Below are 17,990 nucleotides of genomic sequence, written 5' to 3' on the forward strand. Positions count from 1 at the left end.
AGTTGCTCTGGGTCATCTTGGGGACCCCAGCACAGATCCCTTAGTTGGTCCTAACACAGGGTCATCAAGATAAACTAGTCCTGCCCCTCTGCCCAGGAACAGCAAGGCGGACAGAAACAGGACCCCCTGGTGGGGGTTGTGCATTCGCAGTTTTCCCTTCTCCTAGCCATTAGCAATGGTATCTGGACCCTGGAACCCCAGGGTCCAATAAGAATGTGGCTTCATGGAGGAGGTGTGGAAAACGACGCGGTGGAACCCCTCTGTCCTTCTGAACCCTGATATTCCAGGGGTGGTCAGCGTGTGAACCAGCAGCACAGGGGGACCCGTGGAGGCAGAACCCGCATTCTGCCCTTTGAGCGTGGGCACCACCACCTGAGATGAGCCTTGCTGGGAGGGCCCAGAGCCTTGCGCCAGCTGCTTTCAACACTGCCACGGGCTCACTTCCTCCTGGCCCAAGGGCCCTTCCTCAACTGTGTGTGGGGCCATGGCTTGCGCTGCAGCTGCCACCCTGCATCTCCCTCCTCCTCCTCCTCTTCAGTCCCCACTGCCGCACATCCTGGGGCCGCCAGTGTCACCTCCTCACAAAGCCTCTTGAATGTCTGCCTCCTGAATAGAGCCCAGCTAGAGTCCTGGGCTCCCACACTTATTCTTCACGGCCTGATCCCCACGTGTGTGTGCGCACACACACATACACACACACACTCACACTCCCCATGTGTCATCAGCATCCGCCCAAGGACCTAACCCTGCCTCCTCAGCACCCCCAGTGCCTGGCACAAACAAGGCACAGAGATTTATTGAGTGAACGACTAAGCAAGGAACACAAACCAATGCATTCCCTGGAATCCAGAGGCTGGGTCCAGTGCAGAGGAGAAAGGAGCTCAGGCCCTGAATGGTTGACTCCACCATGGAGTCAACTGCGGAGTCAACCCAAACTGCCCATCGGTCCTGCCAGCACAGACCCTGTGGAGGGCACCTCTGTCCCTGGCCCCTCCACCAGCAAAGACACCAGCTGAGACAACTAGCACCCCGCTAGGTGCCAAAACCTCTCTAGCCAGGACAGACTATCAGTGATCACAGTTTCCAACAGTCAGTCACCTTCTGCAAGCAATAAGTAACACTTGTAGAGGTGCAGAGGCATGTGGGCTGAGCCCCATTAGGCCATGTGAATAAGCTCCAGGCCACTGGTCACCAACGCTGTTGCCTCGAACTGGAAACAACTCAAATGTCCTTCAACGGATGACTGGATAAACAAACACAGATCATCCGCTCAGTGGGACACTACACAGCAACAAATGGTAATGAACTGTTACTTGCAACAACGGGTGAACCTCAAAGGCTTCATGCCAAGTGCAAGAAGCCAGACTCAACACATGCACGCGTGCGCGCGCGCGCACACACACACACACACACACTCACACTCTTAAAGCCTGTTTACCCCATAATTCTATTTATATGATTTGCTTGAAAAAGCAAAACCAAAAGACAGACCCTGATCCACGGTTGCCAGGCACTGGAGATGTGGGGTGGCATTTACTATAAAGGACACAGCAGAGTTTCTGGGGTGATGGAATGGGTTTCCTAGATCCATCTTGTGGGGTGGTGACATGACTCAATGTGTTTGTCAAAACTCATAGAACCAGGCCAAGCGCAGTGGCTCACGCCTGTAATCCCAGCACTTTGGGAGGACGAGGTAGGTGGATTACGAGGTCAGGAGTTCAAGACCAGCCTGACCAAGATGGTGAAACCTTATCTCTACTAAAAATACAAAAATATTAGCTGGCCGGGCGCAGTGGCTCACACCTGTAATCCCAGCACTTTGGAAGGCAGAGCCGAGCAGATCACGAGGTCAGGAGTTCGAGACCAGCCTGATCAACATGGTGAAACCCTGTCTCTACTAAATATATAAAAATTAGCCGGGCGTGGTGGCACACACCTGTAATCCCAGCTACTCAGGAGGCTGAGGCAGGAGAATCGCTTGAACCTGGGAGGCGGAAACTACAGTGAGCCAAGGTTGCACCACTGCACTCCAGCCTGGGTGACAGAGCAAGACTCCGTCTCAAAAAAAAATTTTTTCAAAAAAACATTAGCTGGATGTGGTGGCGGGCCTCTGTAATCCCAGCTACTCAAGAGGCAGAGAACTGCTTGAACCTGGGAGGCGGAGGTTGCAGTGAGCCAACACTGCACTACTGCACTCCAGCCTGGACGACAGAGCGAGATTCCGTCTTGGAAAAAAAAAACAACTCACAGAACTATATATCAGGTGCGGTGGTTCATGCCTGTAATCCCAGCACTTTGGGAGGCCTGCGGGTGGATCACCTGAGGTCAGGTGTTCGAGACCAGCCTGGCTAACATGGTGAAACCCTGTCTCTACTAAAAATACAAAAATTAGCCAGGCGTGTGTCAGGCACCTGTAATCCCATCTATTCAGGAGGCTGAGACAGGAGAATCACTTGAACCCAGGAGGCGGAGGTTGCAGTGAGCCGAGATCGCATCATTGCACTCCAGCCTTGGCAACAAGAGTGAAACTCCGTCTTAAAAAAAAAAAAAAACTGGTACCAAAGAGGACACACAAAAACATAGATAAAATGCTAAGAACTGCTTAAAGCACTCAGATAAATTTAGAAGGTATGGATTCTCAGCTAGGCATGGTGGCTCACGCCCGTTATCCCAGCACTGTGGGAGGCCAAGGCGGGCGTGGATCACCTGAGGTTGGGAGTTCGAGACCAGCCTGACAAACGTGGAGAAACCCCGTCCCTACTAAAAACACAAAAAATGAGCCGGGCGTGATGGCACATGCCTGTAATCTCAGCTACTCAGGAGGCTGAGGCAGGAGAATCGCTTGAACCTGGGAGGCGGAGGTCGTGGTGAGCCAAGATCGCGCCACTGTGCTCCAGCCTGGGCAACAAGAGCAAAACTCCGTCTCAAACAAAAAAAAAAAAAAAAAAGAAGGTATGGATTTTCAGGAAAAAGGTCTGTGTGCATACTCCAAAGCAGAAATCTACAACCCTCTAAGTTTTGCAAACATCAAGTTTTGCTTTCAGAAAATATTGCTCTCTACAGAATTTACTTTTAACGGACTCAAGTACCATTATACTTAATCTCTGTTGGCTTCACAGGTGCCCACTTCCATGAAGCCAAGGGAGATCAAATATAATCCCAATGCCACTTAAAAAATTTTTTTTCCAGCCGTTGAAACTACATACAAAAAGCCCCCCTAAACTATCTCTATTTTTTTCATTATTTTTTATTATTTCCTAAAATTATGTTTGGCGATAAATGAGATATATTGTTAAAATTAATTTCACGAGGTAGGTGGCTTATTTCAGGTCAGGAGTTTGAAACCAGCCTGGCCAACATGATAAAACCTCATCTCTACTAAAAATACAAAAATTAGCCAGGCACGGACGGGCATGGTGGCTCACACCTGTAATCCCGGCACTTTGGGAGGCCAAGGCAGGAGAATCGCTTGAACCCAGGAGGCGGAGGTTGCAGTGAGCCGAGACCACGCCCACTGCACTCCAGCCTGGCAACAGAGCGAGACTCCGTTTCAAAAAAAACAAAAAATTAGCCAGGCGCATTGGTGCACACCTGTAACCCCAGCACTTTGGGAGGCCGGGGCGGGTGGATCACCTGTCGAGGTGGGTGGATCAGGAATTCGAGACCAGCCTGGCCAACATGGTGAAACCCTGTCTCTACTAAGAATACAAAACTAATCACGAATTTGAGACCAGCCTGGCCAACAGGGTGAAACCCTGTCTCTACTAAAAATACAAAACTCAGCTGGGCATGGTGGCTGGCACCTGTAATCCCAGCTACTCAGGAGGCTGAAACAGGAAATCACTTGAACCTGGAAGGCAGAGGTTGCAGTGAGCCGAGATGGTGCCATTGCACTTCAGCCTGGGCGAAAGAGTGAAACTCCGTCTCAAAAACAAACAAACAAAAATTAGCCGGGTGTGGTGGTGGGCGCCTGTAATCCCAGCTACTGTGGAGGCTGAGGCAGGAGAATCGCTTGAACCCAGAAGGCGAAGGTTGCGGTGAGCAGAGATCGCGCCATTGCACTCCAGCCTGGACAACAAAGCAAGACTCCATTTCATTTCCATTTTTTTTTTTTTGAGACAGAGTCTCGCTCTTGTTGCCCAGGCTGGAGTGCAATGGCACGATCTCAGCTCACCGCAACCACCGCCTCCCGGGTTCAAGCGATTCTCCTGCCTCAGCCTCTCGAGTAGCTGGGATTACAGGTATGCACCACCTTGCCTGGCTAATTCTGTATTTTTAGTAGAGATGGGGTTTCTCCATGTTGGTCAGGCTGGTCTTGAATTCCCAACCTCAGGTGATCCGTCTGCCTCGGCATCCCACAGTGGGGGGGTTACAGGAGTGAGCCACTGCGCCTGGCCAGACGCCACTTCAAAAAAGAAAAAAAAAGTAATTTCACCTGTTTCTTTTTACTTTTTTTTTTTTTTTTAATGTGGCTACTGGAAAATTTTAAATGAATGATGTGATTCTGTGGTGCTCCTGTGGGCAGCACTGGCCTGAAGCACAAACCTGGAGCCTCCAGCAGGGGGCAGTCCTCAGTCAGAGATCAGTGAGTCCTCCCAAGGAGCCGTGAGGCCTGACTGGCCACTGCTTCCCCTGTCAAACAGCTCAGACCCTAGGTATGTACTGATTACATAACCCTGGGGCATGCCAGGCGCTGTGGCTCACACTTGTAATCCCAGCGATTTGGGAGGCCAAGGTGGGCGGATCACAAGGTCAGTAGTTCGAGACCAACCTGGCCAACATGGTGAAACCCCGTCTCTACTGAAAATAGCTGGGCGCAGCGGCATGCGCCTGTAGTCCCAGCTACTCGGGAGGCTGAGGCAGGACAAACGCTTGAACCCAGGAGGTAGAGGTTGCAGGGAGCCGAGATTGTGCCACTGCACTCCAGCCTGGGTGACAGAGTGAGACTCTGTATCAAAAAACAAACAAAACAAAAAAACCCTAGGGCAGCAGGCTCCCCGGAGGGACTTGCCTTTTCCTACAGGCGCCCTGCCAACGAGGAATGGACATTCTCCTACGTCTGCTTGCATGGGGCTTCCCCTGCACCCCTCACAGGGGTGCCCCTGCCACCAGTTAACAAGACAGTCACTGACAGATGGACTCTGGAAGCCGGCAGATGTGCTGATGCCTTGATCCTTTCCACTGTCAAAAAAAATAGCCAATCTCCTAGAACCTCCTTGTGAACTAGAAGGCAGGAAAGCTTCATTTGAAAGGGCACCAGTTCCCGTACCCACTCACTCCCCAGATGAATCAGGAAACTCAGGACTGATGTTTGGGTATTTAACCCTAACCCAAGGTCCTCAGCCTGACTCCTCAGGGAGGACAACTGATGCCAGGATGAGTTTCAAATGTCACCTGGCTAGTGGGGAAGCCCTGACACCTCCCCCAAGGGAGCCTTCCCCTTTAGAGACCCCCAACTTCCCTCTATTTTCTCTAATGCATAATGGGGGCCCTGAGAGTTGCAAAGAAACGTTTGACTTTTCCACCAAAATACAATCCTTGCCTCGTCTTTGTGTATCTTTGGTTTTTTGTGGTCTTTCTTGGAGATGGCGTCTTGCTCTGTTACCCAGGCTGGAGTGCAGTGGCATGATCATGGCTCACTGCAGCCTCAATCTCCTGGACTCAACAGATCCTCCCACCTCAGCCTCTCGAGTAGCTGGGACCATAGGCATGTGCCACAATACCTGGCTAATTTTTTTTTTTTTTTTGAGACACAGTCTCACTCTGTTGCACAGGCTGGATGGAATGCAGTGGTGTGATCTCAGCTCACTGCAACCTCTGCCTCCTAAGTAGCTGGGACTACACGCATGTGCCACCACAACTAGCTAATTTTTATATTTTTAGTAGCAATGAGGTTTTGCCATGTTGGCCAGGCAGGTCTTGAGAACCTGGCCTCAGGTGATCTGCCCGCCTCAGACTCCCACAGTGCTGAGATTACAAGCGTGAGCCACCACACTCGGTTAAGTTTTTTGTATTTTTTTTTTAAGAGACGGGGTTTTGCCATGTTGCCCTAAGTACAACTGATCTGCCTGCCTTGGCCTCCCAAAGTGCTGGGATTACAGGCATAAACCACTGCACCCAGCCCAGCCAATTTTTTTTAATTTATTTTTAGTAGAAACAACGTCTTGCTACATGCCTAGGCTGGTCTTGAACTCCTGAGCTCAACTGATCCTCCTGCCTCGGCCTCCCAAAGTGCTGGGGTTACAGGTGATTCGTGTATCTTTGTGTATTGTGAGCTCTCTCTAAATGACACCTAAGAGATCACGATTCATGCTTGGAGGCCCATCAGGCAGCATTCCTTTCATTTGGTCATGCCCCAGGGGAAACAGCAAAAGCTTGTCCTGGCCTAAGACAACACATGTGACCACCTCAACTCCTTGCAGAAGAGGACACAGTGCCCGTGTCCTCCTTAGAATGGCCCAATTCCAGATCAACCAAACTGGGCACTGCAGAGGCTGGACAGGCAGGCCACAGCACTGAGGCAATGGAGTGCGCATGTCCCAGTTCCTGTAGCCGGGGGCCCCGTTACCCCCGGACATTACCTTATCCAAGAGCTCCCTCGTCTCTTCGGTCAGAGGGTCGTGGGAAAACATGCAGTCGTCACCATTGATGCAGTTCCCAGTGGTGTGGTACAGCTTACACGGGAAATCACGTTCATGGCAAATTAAGGTAAATGCTTCATCTCACAGAACGCCCCCCTCCCCCACCACAGACCCAAGGCAGAATCCAGCTCCCTTTGTTTTGGAGATAAGAAATCTGAGCCCAGAGAGGTGAGGCGATGTGCTAAGGGCTGCTCAGTGGGTTGGCAGGAAATCCACGGAGAGACCCCGGCACTCCAGACTGCAGGGCACTTCCAGCCCCACTACACTGGCTGGGGGCTGCGTCCTCAGATGGTCAACCAGACTAGGGAAGTTAAATGACTCACCCAAGGTATAAAACCACCTGGAAGAATCTCAGCCAATGGTATGGGCCAGTCTTGAGAGCCTATGTAAACAGAACATGCTCCATGTGCATCTCAGTTTACTCCCTGGAAGGATGGGAAAGACAGACCCCTCTGAGGGCGGACGTGAGTGTTAAATGAGATGGAGACTCACAGAAAGCTCTTGGCACAGAGAGAAAGCACAGAGAAGGAAGATTGGCTGTTACTACCACCATCAAGGAGCAGAGAAGTTCTGCGCCCTCATTCAGACCAGATGCTGGCACTAAAGGATATCGTGCATATAAGGGCAGTTCTCAGCTCTGGCGCAAAATCCAGTGATGTAAAACTTGCACAGTTCTCGCTTCTTTGGGAGTTCGATGTCATGGCTAAAATTACAGTGGTCTCCCTAGAAGAGAAGCAACAAAAACATAAGGTGGTGGCGTGGGAAGCTCTTGCTTACTTCTGTCTGCAAAGGGAAGAAATACTGTCACTGCTGGTGCATGGAGGGGCCAATGACAGAAACGAATCCCCCTTAGGAAAGGAAGACAGGTGTAGGAAGGGCAGGTCCCAAAGGCTGTTGGGACTAATTTTTTAAATATTTTTTTGTAGAGACAGGTCTCACTATGTTGCCCAGGCTGGTCTCAAACTCCTGGGTTCAAGTGATCCTCCCACTTTGGCCTCCCAAAGCGCTGGGATTATAGCCATGAGCCACCAAGCCTGGGTACTTCCTGAATTTAAAGAAAAGCCTTTTGTCCATTTTTCTTCCTCCCAGACCTTGGATGTGATGCTCGGAGGCACAGCAACCACCGTGTAACCATGAGGACAAAAGCCATATGTTTAAAGATGGCAGAATAGTAAGCAGGAATGAGCCTAGGTCCCCCAGGGTACCCCTGACCACTGCGCTGCCAGCTACTGCCCACCCAGCTCCAGACTCCTGGTTCTGAGAGACAAATGTCTATGTGTTGAAGCCAATTTTGTTAAGTTTTCCTTTATTTCCGGTTGAACACAGTCTCAACGACACAATACCTAGGTGAAATCCAGGATTGTGTTCTCCATTCTTCATCATTCAGTCCTCAGGAATCACTCACCATAACCGTGAACTGAAGACAGAAGCTGATCTGTCCCCCTTTTACGAATGCCTATTCATTTGTCTTAATTTATTTACTTATTTTTGAGACAGAGTCTGGCTCTGTCGCCCAGGCTGGAGTGCAATGGCACGATCTTGACTCACTGCAACCTCCACCACCCAGGTTCAAGCGATTCTCCTGCCTCAGCGTCCCAAGTAGCTGGGAGGCTGAGGAAGGAGAATGGCATGAATCCAGGAGGCAGAGCTTGCAGTGAGGCAGAACTTGCAGTGAGGCGAGATCACACCACTGCACTCCAGCCTGGGCGACAGAGAGAGACTCGGTCTAAAAAAAATTAAAAAAAAAAAAAGAGAGAGAGAGAGAGAGAGATGGGGTCTATGTTGCCCAGGGTGTATTCATTTGTTCTTGCTTATATGTATTTCAAGTTTCTCAACAGAATAGAAATTGTAACTAAATAAGAAATACTGCCCGGGCACGGTAGCTCACATTTGTAATCCCAGCACTTCAGGAGGCTGGAATCAGGAGTTTGGGACCAGCCTGGCCAACATGGCGAAACCCTGTCTCTACTAAAAATACAAAAATTAGCCGGGTGTGGTGGCGGGCAGGCACCTATAGTCTCAGCTACTCAGGAGGCTGAGGCAGGAGAATCGCTTGATCCCAGGAGGCGGAGGTTGCAGTGAGCCGAGATCACGCCACTGCACTCCAGCCTGGGTGACAGTGAGACTTGGTCTCAAAGGAAAAAACAAATTATTTTATACACAACATTATTTGTTTGAAGCATCTATTTCTTCCCAAGACAGATGCAGGGGTGCAGTGTGCCCTGAGCACACATCTGCTGGTGTCTGTTGCTGCCTGGGATACTGGGGTAAGAAGCTGCCGGCTGAACTAATACTGGGTTATTATACTTGTTTCCTTCAGAACTCTGTGGTCATTGGTCCATCTTCTGACATTGAACTCTGCTATGAAGTCCAAGGTTAACCTCATCCTCCCCTCCTCTTCTGTTTGGATGCTTTAATCATTCCCCATTCAACCCTGAAGCTCAATAACTTCACCAGGATATGCTGCTGCTTTGCATTCACATCAACCTCCATAATTACGTTTCAGGCTATATGGATTGGTTGAAAATTTTGGCCAAAAAATTCCCCTAAAACCAAAAGTCCTCATCTTACTGGGGGTCCTCCTCACTCTGAAAGGTAACCTGAGTCTTTCAGGCCGCCCAGGCAACTCCCAGTATCGGCAAGTGTCCACAAGGACAAGGACTACACAGTCACTCCCACCCACCCTCACCACGGCTCCAGAACCTTCTGGAAGCCATGTGTCCTCTGGGGGCTATGGCCTCCTAGAGGTGCCCAGCTTTCAGCGCTCCTTACCCAGGTGCAGCGCCCTTCCACGAAGTACTTGCAAATGACTTTGCCTTTCTTGTCCGACTGCTGGTGGGGCTTGTCATGGTCACGACTCCGGTAGCTTCCACCACCACCGTCCTGCAATGGACAGGGTGTGGACGTAAAGGGGAATGAAAGGGAAGGGTAGAGATGGGATCGGGGTTAATAAGAAGCACGGGAGAAGGGGATGAGGGGTCCCTTCAGATCTCACAAGAGCACCGATGGGCAGGCTGCATCTAACACGGAGGCTGCGTGCACCTTATAAGCCCCACGGTGTGGGGTGTTGCTGCCTGGTGAGGAAAAGCTCTAGCCTTTAGAGCTGTTAGCCACTTACACCTCAAGTTCCACACAACTGTGCAGGAACACGTCCACCACACCCAGAGGTGGTGGCATGGGTCTCCCTGCAAAACCTTCCAGGGCTAATTGGATGGTTCACCTAGAACCTTCTGAACCTCAGAGATGTGTTAGGTATGGCTGCAGGTGCTGCTAATGACATGGTTTTAAACACAGGGTCTCAGCAGCAGCGCATCTCCCCAGGATAACTCTAGTTGTCGCTGGTTATGCTGGTCAACACTGGCCAGCCCTTTGGGGGGTGGCTGATGGCAGCAAGGATCAGCTTCACAGAATGACTCATTAAAGGGAAAAAGGACTAAGAAGGGACCTTGGCCCAAACATCAGATCAGAGTGGAGTCAACTCACGCCCATGTCCTCGTCATAGAAGTCTTCGTCATCGTTCATTCCGCCCTTGTTCATCCCTCCTCGGCTGCCACCTCGGCCTCGGCCCCGACCCATTCCTTTCCCTCGACCTCGGGAGCCCCTGCCACGGCCTCGACTTAGCCCTGTGGAGGGGAGATTGTGTGAAGACCTGCTGACCACCCCCTCCCCCACCCCCAGGACTAGATTCCAGCAGCTGCTGGAATCCCTGCCCCACCCAGCGTGTCCTCTCCAGGCCCCTGCCCACCTCGGCCTCGGCTGTCCTTGGAGCGGCGGTACTGGTTCAGCTCCTTGGAGTACTCGTCATAGTCGTCGTCTCCCATTGGCTCCTCACTCTCTCCATACTGGAATGCGCAGAGGAGAGGGCAGGAGAGCGTCAGGTAGGGAACAATGAACACTGTCCCCACCTACACACTGCTCCTTTTTGAAGGATGGTGACCATCCAGGGGACTCATACCATAACCCGTTTCCACACAGCCTGACGACAGGTGGTCCCAATCCTTCCCACTGCAGTCTTCACTGTGAAGACCTGACCCAATAGGCAAACCCAGCATGGAGCCTCCCTACGTACACATCACTGTGGGGCTCTAAAAGGGAGTGGGCAGTGGACTGTGGACTGGCGTGGAAGGTCTGTGGGTAGGACCAGGATGGCAAGTGCAGTGCACCTGCCGCTCCTCCTCCTGGGTCGGGACAGGGATGAAGGACCACGTGCCTGGCTGGAAATGTCTCTAGAGGACTTTCAGGAAACTTCTCTCTAGTGATGGGATGTTTTCACAGCACATCCTGTGATACTTCTTCTTTTTCTTTTTTTGAGACAGAGTCTTGCTCTGTCGCCTAGGCTGGAGTGCAGTGGTGCGATCTCGGCTCACTGCAACCTCCACCTCCCGGGTTCAAGTGATTCTCCTGCCTCAGACTCCTGCATGAATAGCTGGGACTACAGGCGCGTGCTACCACACCCGGCTAATTTTTTGTATTTTTAGTAGAGACAGGGTTTCACCGTGTTAGCCAGGATGGTCTCCATCTCCTGACCTCGTGATCCACCTGCCTCAGGCTCCCAAAGTACTGGGATTACAGGTGTGAGCCACCGCGCCCAGCCGATACCTTTTCTACTTTAAACCACGTGAAGGTTTTATCTATTCCAAAATGATAAATGAATATTTTTAAACACATACATCTGCGCTCTGAGGCTTCCCTTCCTTCAGAAGGGCCGTATGTCTTCCTACCTTGGCCTCACAGCCTCTACCAGCAGTGCTCACGCCCCGGAAAGCCCACCAGCCTCACCCCGACGTCCCCAGGGCCAGAGGAAACCTTACGTCCATCTCTTCCTCGTAGAAATCCTCTTCATCCTCCGGGTGGTCTCCTCCCATAGAGCCTCTGCCCCTGCCTCGGCTGCCCCTGCCCATGCCGCGGCCTCGCGATCCTCCACGGCTTCCTCGGCCCCTGTAGCCCCGGCCCCGGCCTCGGCTGCCTGCATGGAGATTCAGATAGTGAGCCTCCAGCAGGAGCAGATGCCACCAGCAAGAAAGAAGACAACCCACATTTTGCTCCTGAGGTCAATCACTTCAGCTGCCTCCTCCTCCTTCTCCTCCTCCTCCTCCTCCAAGAAGCCTTCCTAGATGCCCCAGGTAGGCTACTGGACCCTCTGGTTCTCTCAATGGGGGTCCCTCAGCACCCCAGACACACAGCTACTCCAGTACTCACTCCCCTTCCTCACAGGGACTTGTCTACTTAGAACTGCACTGTCCAATATGGCAAACACCAGCCCATGGGCTAATGTGCAACTAACACGTCTGGTCCAAACTACAAGATGCTAGCCTTGAAGTCTGACAAGACAAGCTAGCCCTGTAGTTTGGACCTGTGATTTAGACAAGACTCCAAAACACACATTGGACTTCAAAGACTTAGTTAAAAAAAAAAAAAAGAGGCTGGGTGTGGTGGCTCATGCCTGTAATCCCAGCACTCTCGGAGGCTGAGGTGGGCAGATCACCTTAGGTCAGGAGTTTGAGACCATCCTGGCCAACATGGTGAAATCTTGTTTCTACTAAAAATAGAAAAATTAGCCAGGTGTGGTGGCGCACACCTGTAATCCCAGTTACTCAGGAGGCTCAGGTGGGAGAATTGCTTGAACCCGGGAGGCAGAGGCTGCAGTAAGCTGAGAATGCGCCACTGCACTCCAGCTTGGGCAACAGAGTGAGACCCCGTCTCTCACACACACACACACACACACAAAAAAAAACCCAAATGAGAAAGAATATAAAATATCTCATTTGTCTAATTTGATTACACGTTGAAGTAAGATTTTAAACATATTAGGTTGAAAACAGATTATCAAAATTAATTTAATTGGTTTCACTTTTTTCTTCACTTAAAAAAAAAAAGAGTGGCCAGGTGCAGTGGCTCAATCCTATAATCTCAGCACTTTGGGAGGCCCAGTTGGGCAGATCACTTGAGAACAGGAGTTCGAAACAAGCCTGGCCAACATAGCAAAACCTCATCCCTCATCTCTACTAAAAATACAAAAAATTAGGCCAGGCGCAGTGGTTCACACCTGTAATCCCAGCACTTTGGGAGGCCAAGGCGGGTGGATTGCCCGAGCTCAGGAGTTCAAGACCAGATTGGGCAACACAGTGAAACCCATCTCTACTAAAAATAAAAAAGCCAGGCATGGTGGTGCAGGCCTGTAATCCCAGCTACTGGAGAGGCTAAGGCACGAGAATTGCTTGAACCTCGGAGGCGGAGGTTGCAGTGAGCCAACATGGTGCCACTGCACTCCAGCCTGAGCGACAGAGTGAGACTCTGTCTCAAAAAAAATAAATAAATAGGCTGGGCGCGGTGGCTCACGCCTGTAATCCCAACACTTTGGGAGGCTGAGGCGGGCGGATCACGAAGTCAGGAGATCGAGACCATCCTGGCTAACATGGTGAAACCTCATCTCTACTAAAACTACAAAAAATTAGCCGGGCGTGGCGGCAAGCACCTGTAGTCCCAGCTACTCAGGAGGCTGAGGCAGGAGAATGGCATGAACCCGGGAAGCGGAGGTTGCAGTGAGTCAAAATTGTGCCACTGCACTGCAGACTGGGCAACAGAGCGAGACTCCATCTCAAATAAATAAATAAATAAATAAGCTGGGTGTGGTGGCACATGCCTGTAATCCCAGTTACTTGCGGGAGTAAGGCACAAGAATTGCTTGAACCCAGCCAGGCGCAGTGGCTCACGCCTGTAATCCCAGCACTTTGGGAGGCCGAGGTAGGCGGATCACGAGGTCGAGAGATCGAGACCACCCTGGTCACCAACATGGTGAAACCCCATCTCTACTAAAAATACAAAAAAAGCCGGGCATGGTGGTAGGCGCCTGTAATCCCAGCTACTTGGGAGGCTGAGGCAGGAGAATCGCTTGACCTCTGGAGGCAGAGGTTGCAGTGAGCCGAGATCGCGCCATTGCACTCCAGCCTGGGCAAAAAGTGAAACTCTGTCTCAAAAAAAAAAGAAAGAATTGCTTCAACCCAGGAGGCACAGGGTAGAGGCTGCAGTGAGCCTAAATCGTGCCACTGCACTCCAGGATGGGTGACAGAGCAAGATTCTGTCTCCCAATAAACAAAAAAGAGTGATGGGATCTCGCTGTGTTGCCCAGGCTGGCCTCCAACTCCCGGGCTCAAGTGATTCTCCTGCCTCCACCTCTCAAGTAGCTGGGACTATCCAGTGTCCTTTTCACTTTTTAAATGTGGCTACCAGAAAATATAAACGACATGGTGGCTTCCAATCTATTTCTACTTGACAGCACTGGCCTAGGATCTCCCCAAAGCACAGGGGCTGCCCCAGGGAGGTATCCAAGAAAGACTGCTAGAAGAACCAATGGGCCGGGCGCGGTGGCTCACGCCTGTAATCCCAGCACTTTGGGAGGCCGAGGTGGGCAGATCACGAGGTCACGAGATCGAGACCAGCCTGACCAACATGGTGAAACTCCGTCTCTACTAAAAATACAAAAACTAGCTGGGTGTAGTGGCACGTGCCTGTAATCCCAGCTACTCAGGAGGCTGAGGCAGAAGAATTGCTTGAACCCGGAAAGCAGAGGTTGCAGTGAGCCGAGATCGCGCCACTGCACTCCAGCCTGGCGACAGAGCAAGACTCCGTCTCAAAAAAAAAAAAAAAAAAAAAAAAAAGAATGAATGAACAGCTACTCAACAAGCTGGGCCTCAGGCAGGGCTCACAAGTCTGAGAACCCCTGCACTGGAAGATTCCAGAAGCCATTCTCAGGCTGGGCAGTCTTTCTGGCAGGAGATGGTTCAATGGTTCTTTTTGGTTGCTGTTGTTGGTCAGGCTGGTCTCGAACTCCTGACCTTAGGTGATCCGACAGCCTCGGCCTCCCAAAGTGCTGGGATTACAGGCATGGGCCACTGCGCCGGCAGAGATGTGTTCTAAGAGGCCAGTCAGGGCTACCGTGTCTCTGGTGCTCAAGCCTCCTCCACCTTCCTCCCAAAGGACACAGGTTCAAGGTTCAGAGGTGTGGCAGTGGCAAGGACTGCAGTCACACTTTGTCAGGTGATGGGGCTGGGAGAATGGGGGAGCACTGCTGTGGGGTGTGGCAGCCAGCTGTCAGTGACCATGGCCCAGGTGAAAGAGAAGCTGTTCCCTTCTCCCCCCACAGCTGACCAGGAAGTGACCTTTCGGGCACGCTGGCCTTCTCCCTGCCTCACACCAGCCTGGTACCACCCCAACCACAGCCCAGCGGGTGATCTCTCCGGTCTCCTGTGCCATGCACATGCAGAGCCTGGCCCTTCTTTGTACACTTATCCCAACCCTAAGTGACCAAACTTGAGGTTCTGTGAGACCAGGCCACCGGGGTTGGCCCGGGTGGCTCCGATGCCCCAGAGGAGAAACTGTAAGGGCAGGGCTCACCTCGGCCGCGGCTGCTGCCCTCCTTGGCACGCCGGTACTGGTTCAGCTCTTTGGTGAAGTCGTCATAGTCCTCCTTGCCCATGTCCTCCTCCTCGTCGCCCTCATATTCCCCATACTGCTCATTCTCGTAGTCCTCGTACATGCCATAACTCTTGCTGTCCATCTTGGAGTATGCCTTCTTGGGCAGGGGCGTGGCATGCGATGGGGGGTACTGCTGGTGGGACTGCGTCCCAGAGATGGGGAAAAGAGGTGAGCCGGATCCCACAGCCGTGGGTGCAGACTACCAAGATACCCAGGGTTCCCTAAACGAACATGTCTGTCTGGGTGTCACTACTGTCCCAGGGTTGCACTGCTGGTCTCCAGCCCCTCTGGGGACTGGTTCTCGTACCAGGGAGTGGGAGTAGCAGCGGGCCCAAGTGTTTCTGTTCTTCATAAAGGGCCAGAACTAGAAAGAAAACAGAACCACAGACCCCCGATCCCTGATGAACAAAGGGGAGAAGAAGGGAGCATTTCCCAAGGATGCAGAGCAAGCGCACGTGGAGGGGCCTGGGAAGCAGGCGGGGGCTGCTTGGTCACAATTTTCCTAGGGCCCTGGAATTCAATAAATGGCCTGCTTGGCAGCCAGGCTGGACAGCCATCTCAAATGATGCTTTCCAAAGTGTGGTAATGCCAAGTGGTACTAGAAGAAGTTAAAGATACTCATAAAAACGGAAGCAACCAAGACATCCTTCAACAGGTAAATGGATAACAAACTGGTATATCCAGACAATGGAGTAACGACGAATATGTAACAATAAAGTGTGTATTGGGCAAAACCCAGAGAACTATACAACCCTAAGTAATAACAATGTATCAATACCGGCTCATCAATTCTAACAAAGTTACCACAACAATGCAAGACATTGGTAATGGGAAACTGGAGGCAGGGAAGGGGGCAGGCAGAGGGGAGAAGGGAACTCTACTACTACCTGCTCAATTTTGAATAAACTTAAAACAGCTCTAAAAAAGAAAGTCAGGGGGCTGGGCGCGGTGGCTCATGCCTGTAATCCCAGCACTTTGGGAGGCCGAGGCGGGCAGATCACAAGGTCAGGAGATGCAGACGCGAAATGCGATCTCTACTAAAAATGCAAAAATGCAACAACAACAACAACAACAAAATAGCCGAGTGTGGGGCAGGCACCTGTAATCCCAGCTACTTGAGAGGCTGAGGCAGGAGAATTGCTTGAACCCGCGAGGCAGAGGTTGTAGTGAGCAGAGACTGCACCACTGCACTCCAACCAGGGTGACACAGCGAAACAACAACTCAAAAAAATTAAAATAAAGTCCGGGCACAGTAGCTCACACCTGTAATCCCAGCACTGTGGGAGGCCCAGGCAGGCAGATCTCTTGAGGTCAGGAGTTCCAGACCAGCCTGGCCAACATGGTGAAACCCAGTCTCTACTAAAAATACAAAATGAATTAGCCGGGCATGGTGATGGGCGCCTCTAATCCCAGCTACTCGGGAGACTGAGGTGTGAGAATCACTTGAACCCGGGAGGCAGAGGATGCGGTGAGGCAAGATTGCGCCACTGCACTCCAGCCTGGGCGACAGAGCGAGACTCTGTCTCAAAAAATAATTAAAATTAAAAAAAAAAAGTTGGGCCAAGCGTGGTAGCTCACGCCTGTAATCCCAGCACTTTCGGAGGCAAAGGCAGGCAGATCACAAAGTCAGGAGTTCGAGACCAGCCTGGCCAACATAGTGAAACCCCGTCTCTACTAAAAATACAAAAAAAAAAAATTTGCCAGGTGTGGTGGTGGGCGCCTGTAATCCCAGCTACTTGAGAGGCTGAGGCAGGAGAATCGCTTGAACCAGGGAGGCGGAGGTTGCAGTGAGCCGAGATTGTGCCACTGCACTCCAGCTTGGGCGACAGAGCGAGACTCCATCTCTAAATAAATGAATGAATGAACGCATAAAAAAGTCGGCTGCGCATGGTGGCTCATGTCTGCAATCCCCGCACTTTGGGAGGCCGAGGTGGGCAGATCATTTGACCCCAGGAATTTGAGACCAGCCTGGGCAACATTTTGAAACCCCATCTCTACCAAAAGTACAAAAATTAGCCTTGGCGTTATGGCCCATGGTTCCAGCTACTTAGGAGGCTGAGGCAGGAAGATCACCTGAGCCCAGGGAGCTCGAGGCTGCAGTGAGGTGAGATCACACCACTGCACTCCAGCCTGGGCAACAGAGTGAGATCCCATCTCAATAAACAAACAAACAAACAATAAAGCCCACTAATTTTAAAAAATCCGAATTATAGAAAAACAGGACAATGCAAAATACAGCTAGACACACAGACACACATACAAGTACTTTAGCAGATCTTTAAAATGCCTCCAGCTCTAGTTCATAAAAAGCACGCAATGTTCCCTCCATTTCCTGCCTCCCTCAGGTTTGAAGGCCAAACCTACACCAGTAGATCAATCTCAACTATGGTATTGGACAATGAATCATTTGTTGTGATGGATGATGCTGGGTCATGGGATACCTGGGACAGCTTTAAAGACCTACTAACTTTAAAACATTTCTCAACCAGCCGGGCACGGTGGCTCTCGCCTGTAACCCTAGCACTGTGGGAGGCCAAGGCGGGCGGGTCACCTGAGGTCAGGAGTTCGAGGCCAGCCTGGCCAACATCGTGAAACCCTGTCTCTACTAAAAATACAAAAATCAGCCGGGCAAGGTGGCACATGCCTGTAATCCCAGCTACTCGGGAGGCTGAGACAGGAGAATCGCTTGAACCAGAGAGGTGGAAGTTGCAGTGAACCGAGATTGCCCCACTGCACTCCAGCCTAGGCGACAGAGCAAGACTCCGTCTCAATAAATAAATAAATAAATAAATAAATAAATAAACAAACAAGACAAAACATTTCTCATCCAAACCCGGACACCCACGTGCCAACGAATACTGGGTAAAGTAATCA

General features: G+C 51.3%; 1 protein-coding gene across 14 annotated transcripts in view; it reads right to left on the bottom strand.

The window, feature by feature from the left end:
• Positions 1-17,990, bottom strand: part of ZC3H4 (zinc finger CCCH-type containing 4) — a 49,590-nt gene that overhangs the window by 10,745 nt on the left and 20,855 nt on the right. For 13 of the 14 annotated variants that reach the window (NM_015168.2, XM_047438517.1, XM_017026530.3 and 10 more), the window contains 7 exons: positions 15,036-15,258; positions 11,453-11,607; positions 10,387-10,483; positions 10,125-10,264; positions 9,414-9,524; positions 7,253-7,364; positions 6,582-6,691 (listed from right to left, as the gene is read on the bottom strand). In NM_015168.2, the coding sequence (NP_055983.1) occupies positions 6,582-6,691; positions 7,253-7,364; positions 9,414-9,524; positions 10,125-10,264; positions 10,387-10,483; positions 11,453-11,607; positions 15,036-15,258 (948 nt within the window). Of the gene's footprint in view, positions 1-6,581; positions 6,692-7,252; positions 7,365-9,413; positions 9,525-10,124; positions 10,265-10,386; positions 10,484-11,452; positions 11,608-15,035; positions 15,259-17,990 lie in introns of those variants that run through there. The other variant, XM_047438518.1, reaches the window with a different exon arrangement.

This window comes from Homo sapiens, chromosome 19, assembly GCF_000001405.40.
Source record: "Homo sapiens chromosome 19, GRCh38.p14 Primary Assembly".
Classification (NCBI taxonomy): domain Eukaryota; kingdom Metazoa; phylum Chordata; class Mammalia; order Primates; family Hominidae; genus Homo; species Homo sapiens.